At 45.3% G+C, this 22,143-nt stretch overlaps 1 protein-coding gene across 3 annotated transcripts, besides 2 other annotated features; it reads right to left on the bottom strand.

Moving 5' to 3' along the window:
- Positions 1 to 4,288: 4,288 nt before the first annotated feature.
- Positions 4,289 to 11,214, bottom strand: MED18 (mediator complex subunit 18). Of its 3 annotated transcripts, none has more exons than NM_017638.3 (3): positions 11,074 to 11,214; positions 9,519 to 9,657; positions 4,289 to 5,837 (listed from the first exon to the last, which is right to left on the bottom strand). In NM_017638.3, the coding sequence occupies exons 2-3, from the start codon at positions 9,589 to 9,591 to the stop codon at positions 5,284 to 5,286; spliced, it is 627 nt and encodes a 208-aa protein (NP_060108.2). In that variant the 5' UTR covers positions 9,592 to 9,657; positions 11,074 to 11,214; the 3' UTR covers positions 4,289 to 5,283. The 3 variants fall into 3 exon arrangements, with proteins under 3 accessions (NP_060108.2, NP_001120822.1, XP_005245971.1); NM_001127350.2 differs by having other exon boundaries at positions 11,130 to 11,214; XM_005245914.5 differs by lacking the exon at positions 11,074 to 11,214 and adding an exon at positions 9,879 to 9,968.
- Positions 10,165 to 10,672: an enhancer, noted in NCBI's record as "H3K27ac hESC enhancer chr1:28656093-28656600 (GRCh37/hg19 assembly coordinates)". NCBI's record gives its function as "activates a minimal SCP1, AML or CMV promoter by ChIP-STARR-seq in primed H9 embryonic stem cells {active_cell/tissue: H9 hESC(primed)}" and the evidence as "EXISTENCE:reporter gene assay evidence [ECO:0000049][PMID:30033119]".
- Positions 10,673 to 11,180: an enhancer, noted in NCBI's record as "H3K27ac-H3K4me1 hESC enhancer chr1:28655585-28656092 (GRCh37/hg19 assembly coordinates)". NCBI's record gives its function as "activates a minimal SCP1, AML or CMV promoter by ChIP-STARR-seq in primed H9 embryonic stem cells {active_cell/tissue: H9 hESC(primed)}" and the evidence as "EXISTENCE:reporter gene assay evidence [ECO:0000049][PMID:30033119]".

The raw sequence follows: 22,143 nt of genomic DNA, 5'->3' as shown, positions 1-22,143 counted from the left end.
TCGGCTCACCGCAGCCTCTGCCTCCAGGGTTCAAGCGATTCTCCTGCTTCAGCCTCCTGAGTAGCTGGGATTACAGGCATGCGCCACCACATCTGGCTAACTGCATTTTTAGCAGAAACGGGGTTTCTCCATGTTAGTCAGGCTGATCTCGAACTCCCGACCTCAGGTAATCTGCCCACCTCGGCCTCCCAAAGTGCTGGGATTACAGGAGTGAGCCACTGAGCCCAGTCTTTTTTTTTTTTTTGAGATGAGGTCTCTTTCTGTTGCCCAGGTTGGAGTGCAGTGGCGCAATCTCAGCTCACTGCAGCCTCCGCCTCCACCTCCCAGATTCAAGCAATTCTCCCACCTCAGCCTCTCGAGTAGCTTGGATTACAGGGGCATGCCACATGCCCGGCAATTTTTTGCATCTTTAGTAGATATAGGGTTTCACCATGGTGGCCAGGCTGGTCTTGAACTTCTGACCTCAGTTGATCCACCCACCTCGGCCGCCTGAAGTGCTGGGATTACAGGCATGAGCCACCGCGCCCAGTCATCCAGGGGAATTTTTATAACAATCTACGAATTTGCTTATTTTAGCATTTTTTATGGTAGTGAAGAGTTGCAGGCAATCTCAGGTGTTTTTGTTTTTGTTTTTGTTTTTTTTGAGACAGAGTCTCGCTTTATCGGCCAGGCTGGATTGCAGTGGCACAATCTCAGCTCACTGCAACCTGTCTCCTGGGCTCAAGCAATTCTCCTGCCTCAGTCTCCTAAAGAGCTGGGATTACAGGCGTGTGCCACCATGCCCAGCTAATTTTTATATTTTTAGTGGAGATGGGGTTTCACCATGTTGGCCAGGCTGGTCTCAAACTCCTGACAGGTAATCTGCCTGCCTCGGCCTCCCAAAGTGCTGGGATTACAGACATGAGCCACTGTGCCCAGCCAGGTTTGTTTTCTATTGTTGTTGTTGTTTTTAATAGATACAGGGTCTCGCTGTCCCTGAGGCTGGAGTGCAATGACACCATAATAGCTCTGCAGCCTCAACCTCCTGGGCTCAAATGATCTTCCTGCCTCAGCCTCCCAAGTGGCTAGGACTACAGGCCTGTGCCACCATGCCAAGCTTAAAAAAATTTTTTTTTTAGAGATGGGGTCTCACTATGTTGTCCAGGCTGGTCTCAAATTCCTGGCCTCAGGCAATCCTTTCACCTGAGCTTCCCAAAGTGCTGGGATTATAGGCATGAACTACGCACCCAGCAGCAATCTAGGTTTCTATGATATAAAGGGACTAAATGAATAAAACATGGTGGATACACAGTGATTACGTGTCTAGATTGTGGAGATGATCTGCCTGATTTGAAATTCAGGCTCCACCACTTACTAGTTCTGACTTTGGACAACAGAAAAAAGAAATTTGAAGTTGGTTGTAGTGGCTCATGCCTGTAATCCCACCATTTTGGGAGGCCAAGGCAGGCGGACTGTTTGAGCCCAGAAATTTTAGACCAGCCTGGGCAACGTGGTGAAACCCTATCTCTACAAAAAAATGCAATAATTAGCCAGGTGTGGTGGTGCATGCCTGTAGTCCCAGCTACCTGGGAAGCTGAGGTTGGAAGACCACCTGAGCCTGGGATGTCGAGGCTGCAGTGAGCTGTGATTGTGCCACTGCGCTCCAGTCTAGGCAACAGAGTGAGAAGACTATCTGAAAAAAAAAAAAAAATTGAGAAACCTCTCTGTATAACCTCATCTATAAAATGGAAATAATAACAACTCACAACCCTCATACAGTTGTTATGAGAAGTACATGAGTTGAAACATTTAAAGTACCTGTCATGGCTGGGTGCGATGGCTCAAGTCTGTAATTCCAGCACTGTGGGAGGCCAAGGCAGGTGGATCACCCAAGGTCAGGAGATCAAGACCATCCTGGCTAACATGGTGAAACCTCATCTCTACTAAAAATACAAAAATTAGCTGGGCATGGTGGTGGCCGCCTGTAATCCCAGCTACTCGGGAGGCTGAGGCAGGAGAATCGCTTGAACCCGGGAGGCAGAGGTTGCAGTGAGCTGCGATTGCATCATTGCACTCCAGCCTGGCAACAAGAGCAAAACTCCCTCTCAAAAAAAAAAAAAAAAAATCAAAATTAGCTGGGCGTGGTAGCACATGCCTGTAATCCTAGCTATCCAGGAGGCTGAGGTAGGGGCATCGCTTGAACCCGGGAGAAGGAGGTTGCAGTGAGCCGAGATGGCACCACTGCACTCCACCCTGGGTGACAGAGCAAGACTCTGTCTCAAAAAATAAATGAATTAATAAATAATAAAAATAAAGTACCTGTCATGGAGCAAACACTATTTAAACACTAATACTTTTATTAGTATGAAAGCATATGCAAGTTGGAAGTTATGAGTTAGATTTACATAGAGTAACAAGTACATATCAGGCCAGGCACAGTGGCTCATGTCTGTAATCCCAGCATTTTGGGAGGCTGAGGCAGGCAGATCACTTGAGTTCAGAAGTTCGAGACCAGCCTGGCCAACATGGTGAAACCCCCTCTCTACTAAAAATACAAAAATTAGCTGGAAATCACCTGAACCCAGGAGGCGGAGGTTGCAGTGAGCTGAGATCATGCCATTGCACTCCAGCCTGGGCGACAGAGCAAGACTCTGTCTCAAAAAAATAAATAAATAAAAGCTCTATTGTTACACAGCTTATAAAAGCAAAAAAAATGGGATCAAACTGAAAATCATAGAGGATTCAATTAGATAACTTATAGCAAATCCATATGATGAAATAGAAATAGCAATTATAATTGTCAATATTTAAATACCAGCTCTGCCAATCAGTAGCTGTATAGCTCAGGGAAAGTTAATTAATCTATATGTACCAGTTCTCCTGTTTACAAAACGGGTTTAACATACCTGAAGCACTTAGGATAGCACTGACACATAACAGGAACTCAATAAACTAGCTTTAAAAAGAAAAAAATTTTGGCCGGGTGCGGTGGCTCATGCCTGTAATCCCAGTACTTTGGTGAGGCTGAGGTAGGGAGTTCGAGACTAGCCTGACCAACATGGTGAAACACCGTTTCCTTCTTCTTTTTTTTTTTTTTTGAGACGGAGTCTTGCTCTGTCGCCCAGGCTGTACTGCAGTGACGCGATCTCAGCTCGCTGTAAGCTCCGCCTCCCGGGTTCAAGCAATTCTCCTGCCTCAGCCTCCCGAGTAGCTGGGACTATAGGCGGCCGCCACCACGCCCGGCTAATTTTTGTATTTTTAGTGGAGACGGGGTTTCACCGTGTTAGCCAGGATGGTCTTGATCTCCTGACCTCATGATCTGCCCACCTCGGCCTCCCAAAATGCTGGGATTACAGGCGTGAGCAACGCGCCCTGCCCGAAACACCGTTTCTTAAAAACACAATGCCACTGCACTCCAGCGTGGACAACAGTGAGACCCTTTCTCGAAAATAAAAAATATAATACAAAAAATTAAGGCCGGGCGCGGTGGCTGACGCCTGTAATCCCAGCACTTTGGGAGGCCGAGCGGGGCGGATCACGAGGTCAGGAGATTGAGACCATCCTGGCTAACACTGTGAAACCCCGTCTCTACTAAAAATACAAAAAATTAGCCGGGCGTGGTGGCGGGCGCCTGTGGTCCCAGCTACTCGGGAGGCTGAGGCAGAAGAATGGCGTGAACCCGGGTGGCGGAGCTTGCAGTGAGCCGTGAGTGCGCCACTGTACTCCATCTCAAAAAAAAAAAAAATTAGCCGGGCATGGTGGCCCATGCCTGTAATCCCAGCTACTTGGGAAGCTGAGGCAGGAGAATCACTTGGACCTGGGAGGTGGAGGTTGCAGTGAGCTGAGATCATCGCAGTACTGCACTCCAGCCTGGGCAACAAGAGCGAAACTCTGTCTCAAAAAAAAAAAAAAATTTTTTTTAACAAAAGGGGAGTGTAGACAAATGTCCTGGAAAGATGTTAATGATAGATGAATGGGAAAAAAGGGTTATAAACCAGTATATATGGAATCTTTTTATAAAATAAACACATTTCATATACATAAATTTATAAAAAAATAAAGACTAGATGGATATATACCAAAATAGAACTAGTACTTCTCTTTGGATAATAGGTGTTATTTTCTATCTGTACTATATTTTAAAAGTTTTCAACAATAAATATGCTACTTTTATGAAAGGTGAAAACTCTCATCCTCATCTCTGCCACAATTAAAACTAGGAACTGTCATTTTTTTTGCTTCAACTGGTAATGAATCTACCCCAAATTTACAGGGTAAGGGAATAAAGAATCAGAATTACACAGACATGTCTCTTCATTGGCTTTATTACCATGTAACACAAGCTCACAGCCTCTAATGTTACCAACCTTATACACAAATGGCCAAACAAGAAATTGTCCTTTCCAAAAGATAATTTATTCTGGTTTCCCCTCTTCATTTTTATTTTTTTTTGAGACGGAGTTTCGCTCTTCTCACCCAGGCTGGAGTGCAATGGCGTCATCTCTGGTCACTGCAACCTTCACCTCCTGGGTTCAAGCGATTCTCCAGCCTCAGCCTCCCAAGTAGCTGGGATTACAAGCGCCTGCTACCATGCCCGGCTAAATTTTGTATTTTTCGTAGAGATGGGGTTTCACCATTTGGCCAGGCTGGTCTCAAACTCCTGACCTTGGGTGATCCACCTACCTCAGCCTCCCAAAGTGCTGGGATTAGAGGTGTGAGCCACTGCGCTTGGCCCGGTTTCCCCTCTTAATACAGTGGGATTAGATAGATTCTCCGTGACATCCTGAGCCTTTAATATAGAAAGGCTGTCATGAAAGTGAAATCGCCACATGAGGAGAACAGTGCAAAGAACCAATTAATTCTCACCATCCTCTCCCTGAAGGAAGAATGCCTGCCTGGCAATGGTGAAATGGGACATTTAAAACATATTTTTTTGGCCAGGCGTGGTGGCTCATGCCTGTAATCCCAGCACTTTGGGAGGCCAAGGTGGGTGGATCACGAGGTCAGGAGTTCGAGAATAGCCTGACCAACATGGTGAATCCCCATTTCTACTAAAAATACAAAAATTAGCTGAGCATGGTGGCATGTGCCTGTAATCCCAGCTACTCAGGAGGCTGAGGTGGGAGAATTGCTTGAACCCAGGAGGCAGAGGTTGCAGTGAGCCGAGATCGTGCCACTGCACTCCAGCCTGGGAAACAAAGCGAGACTCTGTCTCAAAAACAAAACAAAACAAAAACCAAAAAAAGCAAACATATTTTTTCAAACAAGTAAGGATAGGCCCCAAATGTGGACAGATCCTCTTAGTCACATGAGCCTCTTGGGGTCTATTTTCTCTAGGTGAACCAGAGGTTTTAGCTGTTCTGCGAAGTTCTTCATGTCATCAGAGACCATGTCCTGCCCAGCGGGTGCTACCACACTTAATTCCACGAGATAGGAGAGTGACAAGGCCTCAGTGCTGTCTGTGTTCCCTGGCACCAGGATGCGGAAAATCTTGTACACCATAATCTTCATGATGCCCTTACGGAACAAATGTCCCTTAGCAACAAACTCATGGTCCATGCGGAAGCCCATTTCCATCAAGAAGTCGGTGAGGTTCTCAGATGTGGCAATGTCCACGCAGTTTCGCACCAGGGCATGGCGGTTCTTGTCTCCCATTTCTGGCTGTCCCAGGTAGCGCAGATGCCAGGGTGCCCCTGCCCTGTCCATAGAGCGTCGGGCCCTGAGAACAAATGGGCTGGCTTGCTGGCCCTTAAGGAGGAATACCATCTCATGGTCAAGGAAAGTCTCAGGTTCCATGTTGTCACACAAACCACGAAGGCGGTGGATGAGGCTTTCCAAACTGTGATCTAAAACACTTCCTGAAAACGGAAAAAGCACCACTGAGTCCTGTCTTTCATTTTAGGTCATGGAGTTAGTATACAATTGAAAAAACTTAAATGAAAAACCAAAACAGTTTAGTGAAGCATTTCATAAAACATACAGCCAAACATGAGATTTTACAGAAATTACACTACCAAGGTATTGTATAACGTTGTGAGAAAGTTATTTTCCTTTTCAATTTTTTTGGAATTTTCTTATTTAGCACTACAAAGTCTTTAGGCCTCTTCTAATGCTCATCTCCAGCAGGCCTGGGGCTTAGAGCCTTTAATCAGCGACAGTGTCTATCTAGAATGTAATAATACTGTTTTAGTTATGTATTTATTTATTTTTGTAGAGTTGGGGTCTTACTATGTTGCCCAGGGTGGTCTTGAACTCCTGGCCTTGGTCTCCCAAAGTGTTGGGATTACAGGCACAAGCCACCATGCCCAGCCAATAACACTATTTTGTTGTTATATATTTTAACAATTGCCTTCTATTTCCAACAAATCAAAGTCTTCCATTTATAGAAGAAATATAAAGTCTCCCCCGCTTTTTTTGAGACGGAGTCTAGCTCTGTCTTCAGGCTGGAGTGCAGTGGTGCGATCTCAGCTCACTGCAACCTCCACCTCCTGGGTTCAAGCGATTCTCCTGCCTCAGCCTCCTGAGTAACTGGGACTACAGGCGTGTGCCACCACGCCCAGCTAATTGTTGTATTTTTAGTAGAGACAGGGTTTCACCATGTTGGCCAGGATGGTCTCGATCTCTTGACCTCGTGATCCGCCTGCCTCAGCCTCCCAAAGTGCTGAGATTACAGGCATGGAGCCACTGCACCTGGCTAAAGTTTCCTTTTTATCAGGAAAAGTTTTCCTCTTCTGTATGTAAGTAGAAGAGAGTGAATTGCTTCATAGAATCTTCATCCTCTTGGCAACATCTGACATAATTGTTACAGTAGATTATACCCACTATGAAATCTATTCTTCCCTTGGCCTCTGAGACACAACTTTCTTGTCTTCACTTAACTTGCTGACCATTCCGTTTAAGTCTTCTTTGCTTGGTCTCTCTCATCTTCCCCAAACACTGGAGGACTAGGACTCAATCCTGGTCCTCTTCTGTATCAATACTCTTTTCCTGCCTAGGTGACTTTATTTGGTCCCATGGCTTTAAATATCATTTAGGCCCTGAGGACTCCCACGTTTTTATCTCTGAACTACAGATGAAAACATCCAACTTCCTACTCAGTTTCCTCACTTGGATGCCTAACAGACATCTTTATCTTAACATGTTCAATATCAAACTGTTGATTTTTTCCTCCAAAATCTTATTCACCCTACAGTCTTCAACATCACAGTAAATGGCAACTCTCTGTTTTTAGTTGGTTACCCAGGCCAAAAACCAGAAAATCATCTTTGACTCACACCCTCTTTCTTTCTCTCATACCCTCCATTGAATCCGTATTTTTGAAATAAATGCAGAATGCAATCACTTCTCACTCATCTGGTCACTTCAACCTAGTCCCTTCAAATGAAGTCACCCTCATTTCTTGCCTGGTCTTTGCAATCGCCTCTTTCTACCTTTGCCTTCTTCCTCTCTTCTCCATATGAAAGCCAAATGGTCTATTAAATTATTGGGCAGATAATAACACTCCTCTACTCAGGACACTACAGTGGCTTCCTGTGTCATTCAGAATAAAAGCCAACATCTTTACCGTTGTCAACAAGGCCCTACATATTATGGTCTCTGCTACCTGCCAAACATCATCTCCTTCTATTCCTCCCCTTGATCATTCTCTCCAGGAGTGACCTTCCTGCCACACCCCTTCTCCTATTCTCTGTGCTTAGGATGTTCTTCCCATCTGCATGTCTACTCTATCACTTTTGTCAGGTCTCTGCTCAAGTGACTTTATCATCAAGGCCTTTTCTGATCACCCTAATAAAATAGTATGTGTCCTACCAATCTCTAGCCACTTTCCTGCTTTATTTTTATGGCATAGTTTTGTTTTTTTTTTTTAGGTAGGGTCTCACTCTGTCTCCAGGCTATAGAGCAGTGGCGTGATTATAACTCTTTGCAGCCTCCATCCCCTGGGCTCAAGTGATCCTCCCGCCTCAGCCTCCCAAGTGGTTCAGACTACAGGTGCGCACCACCATGCCCAGCTAATTTTTTTTTTTAGTAGAGATGAGTTCTTGCTATGTTGTCCAGACTAATCCTGAATTCCCGAACTCAAGCAGTACTGCAGCCTTAGCCTCCCAAACAACTGGAATTACAGGCATAAGCCTGTAACAGCTGGCTTGACATACATTTTTTTAGTCATCTTTCTGCCTCCATGGCTATGGCTCAAATGTTAGGAACATATTCAGATACTTGTTTACAAAATCTGGCTGGGCGCGGTGGCTCACGCCTGTAATCCCAGCTCTCTGGGAGGCTGAGGCAGGTGGATCACCTGAGGTCAGGAGTTCAAGACCAGCCCGGCCAACATGGAAAAACCCTGTCTCTATTAAAAATACAAAAATTAGCTGGCCATGGTGGTGCACACCTGTAATCCCGCTACTCAGGAGGCTGAGACAGAAGAATCGCTTGAATCTGGGAGGCAGAGGCTGCAGTAAGCCAAGATTGCACCACTGTGCTCCAGCCTGGGCAACGGAGTGAGAATCCATCTTAAAAAAAAAAAATCAGAGAAACAGGACCTAGAAAGATAGTTGCTAAGGGTTTGGCATAGAGGGGAGTGGTAATTAGTGTTTAATGGGTATAGAGTTGCAGTTTTATAGGATGAAAAACTTAAGTATTTTAGGCCAGGCGCGGCAGCTCATACCTGTAATCCTAGCACTTTGGGAGGCCAAGGCAAGTATATCACTTGAGGGCAAGAGTTCAAGATCAGTTTGGCCAACGTGATGAAACCACAACTCTCTACTAAAAATACAAAAATTAGCTGGGCGTGGTGATGCACGCCTGCAATCCCAGCTATTTAGGGGGGCTGAGACACAAGAATCCCTCGAACCCGGGAAGTAGATAGAGGTTGCAGTGAGCTGTTATTGTGCCACTGCGTTCCAGCCTGGGTGACAGATTGAGACTCTGTCTCAAAGAAATAAAAAGTTGTACTAAGTATTTTTTCAAGCTACTCACAATAAACCAAAGTTCTAAAGATCTGTTGTTTAACAATGTTAATATACTTAACAATACAGAACTGTACACTTAAATATGTTAAGATGGCAATTTTTTTTTTTTTTTGAGACAGAGTCTCACTCTGTCGCCCAGGCTGGAGTGCAGTGGCGCGATCTCGGCTCACTGCAACCTCTGCCTCCCAGGTTCACACCATTCTCCTGCCTCAGCCTCCTGAGTAGCTGGGACTACAGGTGCCCGCCACCACGCCGGGCTAATTTCTTTTGTATTTTTAGTAGAGACAGGGTTTCACTGTGTTAGCCAGGATGGTCTCCATCTCCTGACCTCGTGATCCGCCCACCTCGGCCTCCCAAAGTGCTGGGATTATACGCGTGAGCCACCATGCCCAGCCAAGATGGCAAATTTAGTATGTTTAGTGCATATAAAACTATAATTTAAAGTAACAGTTAAAAACATAGCTGGGTGCCAGAAACTGTGCAGGCTGCTTTTGTGTTAAGTCTCTCATCTTAAGGGAAGCTGAACAGAGAAGAGGAAAACAGGTAATCCAAGTTCCCTAGTTCACTTACCCTGCAACAGGTACTCCATCATGTTAATGGTGCCCCCAGTGACAGGCATCATGGTGACTGGAGGTGCCTCCATGGTGTCTAAGTTGAAGACAACACAACTGGACTCAGAGCCCCCAGTCAGGTAAGGCACGGGATATACCTGGAAAAGAGTTCACTTGTTTATACATCAAAGTGGTGGAGAGAGACCAGATCTGTTGTGGCACTGGCCTTCAAATCAAAGATTCATTCATTCAAAAACGTTTGAGTATTTCCTTATATGGCCAGTTCCAGGAACTGATGACACAGAAATATAGAAAGGAGATCTGGTCATGGAGTTACAGCATTACCTTCTAGTCTCAAGTTCTGAAACCTCCACATTACCTGTGCAATCTTGAGAAAGTCCTATCTATAACCCCTCACCCTGGGACTCAATGTCTTCCTTATAAAATGAGGCCAGTGATTTTTTTTTTTTTTTTTTTTTGAGACGGAGTTTCACTCTTGTCGCCCAGGCTGGAGTGCAATGGCGCAATCTCTGTTCACTGCAGCCTCTGCCTCCCAGGTTCAAGCGATTCTCCTGTCTCAGCCTCCCGAGTAGCTGGGATTACAGGCGCCCGCAACCAAGCCCAGCTAATTTTTTTTGTATTTTTAGTAGAGACGGGGTTTCGTCATGTTGGCCAGGTTGGCCTCGAACTCCTGGCCTCAGGTGATACTCAGGTGATCCGGCCTCCCAAAGTGCTGGCATTACAGGTGTGAGCCACCGTGCCCGGCCAAAGGCCAGTGATTTTTAACTCCCAAGGCTATGTGGCTCAAACGAGATAATAAAGAGGCAACAAAATTCAGAAGAACTGAAAAAGTGACTTAAGGGACCTTCGTTTTATAGATGAGGATATTGAGACTTGGAGAGGGACAGAAGGATACACACAGCAAGTTGGTAGCAGAGTTTGGACCAAACTAACATCTAGGCGTTCTATCTCTCTGAAAATGCCTTCCCCCGTACGCTTTTCTTTTTTGGTGACAGGATCTCGCTCTGTAGCCCAGGCTGCAGTGCAGTGGGGAGTTCCTAGCTCACTATAACCTCGAACTCCTGGGCTCAAGCCGAGTAGCTGGGACTACTACAGGCGGGAGACCACACTGCGGCTAGCCTAAAAATGCCTTTTAAAGAGAGCCAAGGCCGGGCGCGGTGGCTCACGCCTGTAATCTCAGTACTTTGGGAGGCCGAGGCCGGCGGATCAACTGGAGGTTGGGAGTTCGAGACCAGCCTGACCAACATGAAGAAACCCCGACTCTACTAAAAATACAAAAAATTAGCCAGGCCTGGTGGCGAGCGCCTGTAATCCCAGCTCCTCAGGAGGCTGAGGCAGGAGAATCGCTTGAACCCGGAAGGCGAGGTTGCGGTGAGCCGAGATCGCGCCATTGCACTCCAGCCTGGGCAACAAGAGCGAAACTCCGTCTCAAAAAAAAAAAAAAAAAAAAAAAGAGAGAGAGAGCCAAGGGGAAGTTATTTTAAGATGATGGTATATAGGTCCTTCTAAGCCGGCATCCATAACACGTATCCAATTAAACACTAGAAGCACACCTCCTTGAGGCTGTAGTGTCTTCTCGAGAAGCCGGGAATTATATCCACCCGCGCACCTAGGAGCTTTTGAGCGACGATTAGATACCAGCACTCCGGTTACCCGAGCCCGGGAAGCCCCCAGATCGGTGCAACCAGCCAACTTCCTCCTCTTCTCACTTCCGGTCGGAAGCCGACGTCTCACAAACCTCGAAACTGCCGTTCCCAAACGTATGGGTGCCGAGAAGGCCGAAGAGCTTCATTGCGGACAGACAATCAGAGGCGCATGCGCAAAATTCCGGGCTGCTGTATGAAAGATGGCGGCCTCCTTTGGCGCTTTCCTCCGGGCGCTACCTGGATCCTTGACGTCATAGGCCATGCTCTAGGAAAATCTTTTTAGGTTTGACAACCTGGAGATGTATTTGTGTAGAAAGTCTCTTGGAACTGATAGGACTTACAGAGATTATAGTGGGTTTCAAAAGAAAAAAGAACTGAGGGGTTGGGCGCGGTGGCTCACGCCTGTAACCCCAGCACTTTGGGAGGCCGAGGCAGGCGGATCACTTGAGGTCAGGAGTTCGAGACCAGCCTGGCCAAGATGGTAAAACTCCGTCTCCATTAAAAATACAAAAATTAGCCGGGCATGGTGACGCGCGCCTGTAATCCCAGCTACTAGGGAGGCTGAGGTGGGAGAATCGCTTGAACGCGGGAGGCGGAAGTTGCAGCGAACCGAGATCGCGCCACTGCATTGTAGCCTGGGCTACAGAGAGAGACTCTGTCTCAAAAAAAAAAAAGAGTCTGGAAAAGGAGTAGGTCCAGATCCAGGAGTACTCTGCAGTGCCATACCAAAGAATACATGTGAGCTTTAAAAGAACCCTGGCTACAACATGGAGAAAAGTTTGGGAAAGGAGAGAGCCTAGAGAAAAAAGACCAGGCCGGACACGGTGGCTCAGGCCTGTAATCCCAGCACTTTGGGAGGCCAAGGCGGGCAGATGGCTTGAGTTCAGGAATTCAAGACCAGCCTGAACAACATGGTGAAACCCTGTGTCTACAAAAAATACAAAAAATTAGCTGAACGTAGTGGCTCGCACCTGCAGTCCCAGCTACTTGGGAGGCTGAGGTGGGAGGATTGCTTGAGTCCAGGAGGCAGAGGTTGCAGTGAGCTGAGATAGCGCCACTGCACTCCAGCCTGTGCAACAGAGGGAGATCCTGTCTGGAAAAAAATTAAAGAAAAACGACCAGTTAGGCGCTTTGGTACAACTCCAGCTGAGAAACAAATGTCAGAAAAAGATTTTAAAAATGTAAAAAGAGGACAGGCGCGGTGGCTCACGCCTGTAATCCCAGCACTTTGGGAGGCCGAGGGGGGTGGATCACGAGGTCAGGAGATCGAGACCATCCTGGCTAACGGTGAAACCCTGTCTCTACTAAAAATACAGAAAATTAGCTGGGCGTAGTGGCGGGCGCCTGTAGTCCCAGCTACTTGGGAGGCTGAGTCAGGAGAATGGTGTGAACCTGGGAGACAGAGCTGGCAGTGAGCCGAGATCGCACCACTGCACTTTAGCCTGGGCGACAGAGCAAGACTCCGGCTCAAAAAAAAAAGTAAAAAGAGGAAATTAGCCGGGTGTGGTGGCACACGCCTGTAGTCCCAGCTACTCAGGTGGCTCAGGTGGTCAAGAGACCAAAATTGCTTGAACCCAGGAGGCAGAGGTTGTAGTGAGCTGAAATTGCACCACTGCTCTCCAGCCTGGGCTACAGAGCAAGACTCTGTCCTCTATATATATATGGAAAATAATTCTTTAATGACTAACCAGAGGTAAAGACAGAGATGAAGGAGTCACAGATGTCTTGGGTGGCTATCGTAGCACTTTTTTTCTCTAAGCTAGGAAACACAGAGCAGTGTGGGTGAGACAGGAAAGATGAGTTCATATGTAGACCCACTGAGCATCAGGTGTCTGTGGGACACCCAAATGGCAAAGTTCAGGGGAGAGAAATGGGCTACAGATAGAGATTTCAAAACCATAGCCTCATAGATGGTAGCTAAAAGCCATGACATTGAATGAGATCATCGTGAAAGAGTGTACTAAGTAGGAAAAGAAGATTGACAAGGATTGCGTATGCCCTAGGGTTTAGGATGTGCCTCCTGATCAACCTGGTGATTCACAAGATTGGGCAGAGTGACCAGCTCTCAAGTGCTGTAATGATTAGAGGAGGCTGTGAACTTCTTTGGCCTCTCTTTTCCTATACAGACACTAATTGCAGCATAGAAAGTCCAGTGAATTACAGGTCATTTGAGGCACCATAGGGTTTACCCAGATTTTAGCTGGTATTTTAAAGAAGGGTAAATTTTTTTAAAAAGGTAGGGGAGATAGACAGAAAATGGGTAAACAATATGATAATACCTGAAGGAGGCCTGGAGATTACAGGGATGGGTTTCTCTGATAAGGATATGATGCCTAGAGCTTAGGATGGGGCCCACCCCTGTACTTTGCCACTACCCAGCTGTGCAACCATGGGCATTCACTTCCCCTCCCTGAGCCTCAGCTTCCTTTTTTTGTAAAATAGAGATAATAATAGTACTTTCAAAGGAGTTTGCCAAAATCAAATGAGATGGTTATAAAGCATTTAACATAGTGCTTGGCTTATTGTAAGCACTTAATATTTTTATTTTCTTTTATTTTTATTTAATTTTATTAATTTTTTTAGAGACGGAGTCTCACTATGTGAGACCCAGGCTGGTCTCAAACTCCTGGCCTCAAGCCATCCTCCCATCTTGACCTCGTAAAGTGCTGGGATTACAGGCATGAGCCATCATGCCTGGCGTGTAGGCATTTAATAAGCAGTAGTTATTAGCTTTTTTTTTTTTTTTTTTTGAGATGGAGTCTCGCTGTGTCGCCCGGGCTAGAGTGCAGTGGCGCAATCTCGGCTCACTCCACTTTCCGGGTTCACGCCATTCTCCTGCCTTAGCCTCCTGAGTAGCTGGGACTACAGGCGCCTGCCACTACGCCCAGCTAATTTTTTGTATTTTAAGTAGAGATGGGGTTTCACCGTGTTAGCCAGGATGGTCTCGATCTCCTGACCTCGTGATCCACCCGCCTCGGCCTCCGAAAGTGCTGGGATTACAGGCATGAGCCACCGCGCCCGGCCTTTTTTTTTTTTTTTTTTTGAGGCAGAGTCTTGCTCTGTTGCCCAGGCTGGAGTACAGTGGCGCGATCTTGGCTCACTGCAACCTCCGCCTCCTGGGTTCAAGCTATTCTCCTGCCTCAGCCTCCCAAGTAGCTGGATTACAGGTGCATTCTATTTTATTGTTTTCACTCTTTTTTAAATTCATTTTTTCAAAATTATTTTTTTCATTTTTCGGGGGAGTCACTGGATCTGTGAATGTATTTTGTGCATGGCTTATCTCCCTGGATAGATTGTAAACATCTTGAAGTGAGGAATCATATATATATACACATATACACACACACATATATATATATACACACACATATATACACATATATACACATATATATACATATATAAAAATGTATATCTACACATAAATATATATATATATATATATTTTAAACAGTCTCACTCTGTCACCCAGGCTGGAATGCAGTGGCGCCATCTTGGCTCACTGCAACCTTCGCCTCCTAGTTTCAAGTGATTCTTGTGCCTCAGCCTCCTGAGTAGCTGGGATTACAGGCGTGAGCCACCACGCCTGGCTAATTTTTGTAGTTTTAGTAGAGATGGGATTCACCATGTTGGCCAAGCTGGTCTTGAACCCCTGACCTCAGGTGATCTGCCTGCCTCGGCCTCCCAAAGTCCTGAGATTACAGGCGTGAGCCACCGTGCCCAGCCCCAGCCTTTTTTTCTTTCCTTTTTTTGTAGAGACAGGGTCTCACTATATTGACCAGGCTGGTCTCCAACTCCTGGGCTCAAGAAATTCTGCTGCCTAGGCCTCCTAAAGTGCTGGGATCATAGGTGTGAGCCACAACACCAAGTCAATATTTTTTTATATAGAGTACTTGCTGAAATGATAATATTTTGGATACTGGGGTTAAATAAAAATATTTTATTACATTTAATTTAACTTGTTTATTTATTTTTATTTATTTGTTTTGTTTTGTTTTGTTTTGAGACGGAGTCCTGCTCTGTCGTCCAGGCTGGAGTGCAGTAGCGTGATCTTGGCTCACTGCAACTTCTACCTCCCAGGTTTAAGCAATTCTCCTTCCTCAGCCTCCCCAGTCGCTAGGACTACAGGCGCCCGCCACCACATCTGGCTAATTTTTCTATTTTTTAGTAGAGACAGAGTTTTACCATGTTGGCCAGGCTGGTCTTGAACTCCTGACCTCAGGTGATCCACCTGCCTCAGCCTCCCAAAGTGCTGGGATTACAGGTGTAAGCCACTGAGCCCAGCTTATTTTTACAGGGTGCTACTAGAATATTTATTTATTTATATTTTTATTTATTTGGAGACAGAAGTCTTGCTCTGTCTTCCAGGCTGGAGTGCAGTGGCACAATCTGGGCTCACTGCAACCTCTGTTTCCCAGACTCAAGCAATTCTCATGTCTTAGCCTCCTGAGTAGCTGGAACTACAGATGCATGCCACCATGCCCGCCTGATTTTTTTTTTTTTCTTTAAGTAGACCAGGTTTCACCATGTTGGCCAGGCTGGTCTCAAACTCCTGTCCTCAAGTGATCCTACTACCTGGGCCTCCCAGATTGCTGGTGTGAGCCCCCATGCCTGGCCTAGAATATTTAAAAGTATATATGTGACTCACATATTTCTGTTAGACAGTACTGCTATAGGATCTAGATTTGAAGGTGTGGCTTTACAGTCAGACAGATCTATAATTCTGGCAACTGCTTGTGTGGGTCTAGGCAGTTTATTTAACTTCTTAGGCCTTTGGCAGTGCCTGGTATATACTGTATATTGTAGGTATGCAATGAATCAGATTTACTGTTAGGAGAATGGTTTAGGAATTGGGGAATGTTTAATTAGAAAAGACTTACGAAGGGTGGACATGACATCTGTCTTCCAGTATATGAATATATGACAAAGCCAGTGGGGACTGAGGAGAGATGAAGAGGAAAGGGCTAGGGTTAGGGTTAGAGTATATTTAACTCATTTAACTCTCACAACCATGGGGACTTCAGCCCACTTAGCAAATGAGGAAATAGGCTCTGAGAAGTTAAGTACATTGCTGATAAGTGTCAGAGTCAGGTTTAAAAGCCAAATCTGTCTGCCTCCAGAGATTTATTGTACTAAGACTTTGCTCTGTGTTAGTTTGGATTGCTATAACAAGTTACCAAAGACTGGGTGGCCAAAACAACGAATGATTTCACATATTTCCCGGAGGCTGGGAAGTCCAAGATTGAGGTGCTGATAGATACAGTGTCTGGTGAGGGTCGGCTTCATGAATTGCAGATGGCTGCATTCTCATAGCATCACATGGCTGAGAGAAAAATCATCTCTCTTGTTTTTTCCTACAAGGGCACTAATCTCATTAATGAAGACTTCACCCTCACGACCTAATTATCTCCCAAAGGCTCACCACCACATTGGAGGTTAGGATTCTTTTTTTTAAAGGCCCTCCAGGTGTACACAGTGCCTATGTAGTGCTGGGCAAATTTCTACTTCTCCCAGGATTTAGCATATGAATTTTGGGGAGACACAAACTTCAATCTGTAATAGCCTCCTGAAAAAAACTAACTGCTTTTGTATAGTTCCAGAGGACAGGACTAGAATTGTTGGGTGAAAATTATAGGGATATAGATTTCAGCTTAATAAAAGGAACAACTTGTCGCAATGGTGGTGTCCAGTAGTGGAAGGGGGGCCCGGATATGAAGTAGACTCCCTTCCAGTGGAAATACTGAAGGAGAGACTGTGGTAGAAAGAATTATTGGCTGGGCGTGGTAGCTCATGCCTGTAATCACAGCACTTTGGGAGGCCTAGGTGGGCAGGTCACCTGAGGTCAGGAGTTCAAGACCAGCCTGGCCAACATGGCGAAACCCCATCTCTACTAAAAACAGAAAAATTAGCTGGGCATGGTGGCACATACCTGTAATGCGAGCTATTCAGGATGCTGAGGGAGGAGAATCGCTTGAACCTGGGAGGCAGAGGTTGCAGTGAGCCAAGGTGGTGCCACTGCACTCCAGCCTGGGCAACAGAGCGAGACTCTATCTCAAAAAAAAAGAAAAGAAAGAATTCTTGTTCCGAGTGGGAGAGATTGAATTATCATATTTCCTTGATTCCTAGACACTGTCCACTCTAAGTCATAGTATTGATTTAATAACAGAGTTTCAGTCGATTGATAAACACTCTCTCTCTATGTGTGTGTGTGTGTATATATATATATATATATATCTGTTATAAATTGAAGCCCGATAAACCCAGACACAAAATGCATCTTAGAGTTGAGAAAATGCAGTAGTCGAACTTTATGATTTCATAGATACTTAGCCTTAGTAATTCTATGCCTTTGGATTTTTTTCCTATTATGACAACTACAGCATTATTATTAATAGTAATGACCATCAGCAAACACCCAATGACAAATAAGAAATGACACCATTCTTAAGGAGTTTAGTTTGCTGAGAGACAGGTAAAACACCTCATATAATTTTGTGCCTAGTGTTCTTCATTGGGTGCTGACTCAAGAAATTCACCTCCCCACCCCACTGGCTGAATGACAGGCAGCATTAGCCATTTAATTCTCTTAATCTCAAGGCGGGGCCCTAAGAAAGTCTGTTGCAGAAGGGTAATTGGCCTATTTACTTGCTCCCTTCCTCTTAGCCCAGCCAACCCAACTCTAGCCTCTGGTTGACCAGGTGTTGAGGTGCCTTGAGGGGATAAGCTATAATAGTTAATGTATTACATGTATCCATAAAAGATTAAAGATTAGCTCTGTTTTAGCTGAACTGTAACTGTCTGTTTGGGTTTCTCCCCTCCCGGGCTGTCTGGGGAAATCAGTGTTGGTTTTAGTCTGAAGATAATTAACCGATAATTAACCCACTGGGTCTCAAATTTCCTGGACAGCTCCCCTTGAGTGTGTGATTACTGGGTGCCAGGCTCTGTGGTAAGCACTTTCTGTGAATCTGTATTTTTTTTTTTTTTTTTTGAGATGGAGTCTTACTCTGTCACCCAGGTGGATGTGCAGTGGCATGATCTCGGCTCACTGCAACCTCCACCCACCAGGTTCAAGTGATTCTCCTGCCTCCGCCTCCCAAATAGCTGGGATTACGAGCGTGCACCACCACACTCAGCTAATTTTTGTATTTGTAGTAGAGACGGGGTTTCACCAAATTGGCCAGGCTGGTCTCGAACTCCAGACCTCAGGTGATCCACCTGCCTCAGCCTCCCAAAGTGCTGGGATTACAGGTGTGAGCCACCATGCTCAGCTGAATCTGTATAATTCATTTCCTCCTCATACTAGCTCTCAGAAGCAGGTGGTATTCTCTCCATCTCACAGCTGCCAGAATTGCAAGTCTGCTGTATAATCTATGTGGAAGTAAAAGAGTTTGTTTCTGGTCCCCTAAGATCTCATCACAATTACCCCCTTCCTTGGGTCAAATGGTTTTATGCCATTATTTATGCCATCAACTCAAATGTTTTCTGGAGGAGACTCTTTGTACAACCCAGAGGAGAGGAGAAAGCCCAAAAAGACTTCATGGAGAAGCAGAAGGGCAGAGGTTAACACACTAGTGCTTAGGACTTAAGATGGGTCCTGGACATGGTGGATCATACCTGTAATTCCAGCACTTTGGGAGACCGAGGCAGGTGGATCACTTGAGCCCAGTAGTTCAAGACCAGCCTAGGCAACGTAGGGAGACCCCATCTCTACAAAAAATTAAAAATTAGCCAGACATGGTAGCCCTCGCCTGTAATTCCAGCTACTTGGGAGGCTGAGATGGGAGTGTCATTTGAGCCCAGGAGGTCAAGGCTATAGTGAGCTGAGATGCTTCCACTGCACTCCAGCCTGGGTGACAGAGCCAGACTGTCTCAAAAAAAAAAAAAAAAAAGAGAATTAGTGAAAAGAACATTGTAAGGAGAGTTGGCATATTCTCCATATGGGCATAGCAAGCACATTGTGGCACACAATACAGTCAGCACTTACTATGTGCCTGCGGTAGGAGAGGCACCATGCTGAACTTTGGGAATATAAAGAATAACTGGGACAACCTAAACCCCTGCCCTGAGAGAGTCCACATTCTAGTGATAAAATATTAAATAATATTAAAAATGGTTACAAAAGAAAGAAGGTGGAAAATATTTATGATATAATATTAACTACTCAAGCCAGTTACAAATGTACAGTGTGATTTTAATTATATAGAGTCCTTAAAACATCTTTACACAGGAGAAGAAAACATAGCACTCTAATACTAACAATAATTGCCTTTGTTTAACTTTGTTTAATGGGACCAGAGATTATTTTATCTCCACTTGTCTCTGTTTTCCTTTTATTTTTTTTTTGAGATGGAGTCTCACTGTGTCACCCAGGATGGAGTGCAGTGGCGCAATCTCAGCTCACTGTAACCTCCACTTCCAGGGTTCAAGCGATTCCCCTGCCTTTTTTTTTTTTTTTTTTTTTCGAGACAATGTCTCACTCTGTCACCCAGGCTGGAGTGCAGTGGCAAGATCATAGCTCACTGAAGCATCAATCTCCCAGGCTCGAGCAATCCTCTCGCCTCAACCTCCCAAGTAACTGGGAGTGAGCCACCACGCCCAGCCTATCTTCCAAATTTTTGATGAGTGTGGGTTACTTAAAAAGAGTAAAAGAAAATAACCTTTTTTTCCTTTTAAATGAAAAAAAAATGGCCAGGCGCGGTGGCTCATGTCTGTAATCCCAGCAATTTGGGAGGCCGAGGCGGGCCGATCACTTGAGGTCGGGAGTTCAAGACCAGCCTGACCAACATGGAGAAACCCCGTCTCTCCTAAAAATACAAAATTAGCAGGGCGTGGTGGTGCATGCCTGTAATCCCAGATACTCAGGAGGCTGAGGCAGGAGAATCGCTTGAACCCAGGAGGTGGAGGTTGCAGTGAGCTGAAATCGCGCCATTGCACTCCTGCCTGGACAATAAGAGAGAAACTCTCTCAAAAAAAAAAAAAAAAAGCCTGCGCAGTGGCTCATGGCTGTAATCCCAGCACTCTGGGAGGCCAAGGCGGGTGGATCACGAGGTCAGGAGTTCAAGACCAGCCTGACCAATATGGTGAAACCCTGTCTCTACTAAAAATACAAAAATTAGCTGGGTGTGATGGCACATGCCTGTAGTCCCAGCTGCTCGGGACGCTGAGGCAGGAGAATTGCTGAACCCAGGAGGCAGAGGTTGCAGTGAGCCGAGATGGTGCCACTGCACTCCAGCCTGGGTGACAGAGAGAGACTCCATCTCAAAAAAAAAAAAGAAAAAAAAAAAAAAAAAACTTGAAACAAACAAAATGTCCACACACAAGTGGATAAACAAATTGTGATTTATTTCTACAATGGAATACTACTCAGCAATAGAAAAAAACTACTGATGTACATAAGAAGATAGATTAATCTAAACTGAGCGTGGTGGCATGCAACCATAGTCTCAGACATTCTGGAGGCTGAAGCAGGAGGATCCCTTGAGCCCAGGAGTTTGAGGCTGCAGTGCGCTATGATTGTGCCACTGCACTCCAGCCTGGGCGATGGAGCAAGACCCTTTCTCTAAAATAATAATAACAATATTCTAAGTGAAAGAAGTCAGACACAAAAGAATATGTAATTTATGATTCCATCTATGTGATATTCTAGAAGAGATAAAACTAATCTACAGTGAGAGAAATAAAATCGTGCTTGTCTAGGGCAGGAAGTAGGGAGGACTCATTGCAAGGAGACATAAGGGACCTTTCTGGAAAAATGGAAATATTTATATTTTGATTGTGATGTCAGGTGCTCAAGTGTGTATATTTGTCAACACTCATCAAGATGTACATTTAAATAGATACATTTTATTTTATTTTATTTATTTGTTTTGAGATGGAGTTTTGCTCTTGTCACCCAGGCTGGAGTGCAATGGCATGATCTCGGCTCACTGCAACCTCCGCTTCCCGGGTTGAAGCGATTCTCCTGCTTCAGCCTCCCAAGTAGCTGGGATTACAGGTACCCACCACCATGCACAGCTAATTTTTGTATTTTTAGTAGAGACAGGGTTTTGCCATTTTGCCTAGGCTGGTCTTGAACTCCTGACCTCAGGTGGTCCACCTGCTTCGGCCTCCCAAAGTGCTGGAATTACAGGTGTGAGCCACTGCGCCCGGCCTACCCAGATGCATTTTAATTGTATGTAAATGTAAATGTATCTCAATAAAATTGATTAAAATAATGAAAAACATTTATAGTTTTTTTTCTGGTTACAAGAGCATTATGTGCTCATTGTAAGAAATTCAAATGTATTTTATTTTATTAATTATTTATTTTGAAATGGGATCTCACTCTGTCACCCAGGCTGGAGTGCACTGGGCACTGCAACCTCCACCTTCCGGGCTCAAGTGATCCTGCCACTGAAGACTCCCAAGTAGCTGTGAATGGCTGGGCGAGGTGGCTCACACGCCTGTAATCCCAGCACTTTGGGAGGCCGAGGTGGGTAGATCACCTGAGGTCAGGTGTTCGAGATCAGCCTGGCCAACACGGTGAAACCCTGTTTCTACTAAAAGTACAAAAATTAGCTGGGCATGGTGGTGCGTGCCTGTAATCCCAGCTACTCGGGAGGTTGAGGCAGGAGAATCGTTCAAACCTGGGAGGCAGAGGTTGCAGTGAGCTGAGATCACGCCACTGTACTCCAGCCTGGGTGACAGAGTGAGAATCCATCTAAAAAAAAAACCCAAAAAAAACAAAAAACAAAAACAAAACAAAATACCAAGTAGCTGGGGACACAGGCACCCACCACCATGCCTGGCTAATTTTTTCTATTTTTGGTAGAGATGGGGTTTCACCATGTTGCCCAGGCTGGTCTCAAACTCACAAGCTCAAGCGATCCTCGCGCCTTGTCCTCCCAAAGTGTTAGGATTACAGGCATAAGCCACTGTGGCAGGCCTAGAAATTCTAATATTTTAGAAGAAAACTCTAAAATGTACAAAAAAAATACT

The sequence above is a fragment of the Homo sapiens genome, chromosome 1, assembly GCF_000001405.40.
Source record: "Homo sapiens chromosome 1, GRCh38.p14 Primary Assembly".
Classification (NCBI taxonomy): domain Eukaryota; kingdom Metazoa; phylum Chordata; class Mammalia; order Primates; family Hominidae; genus Homo; species Homo sapiens.
The sequence above is the reverse complement of the archived record's forward strand: the minus strand, read 5'-3'. Positions and strand labels throughout refer to the sequence as shown.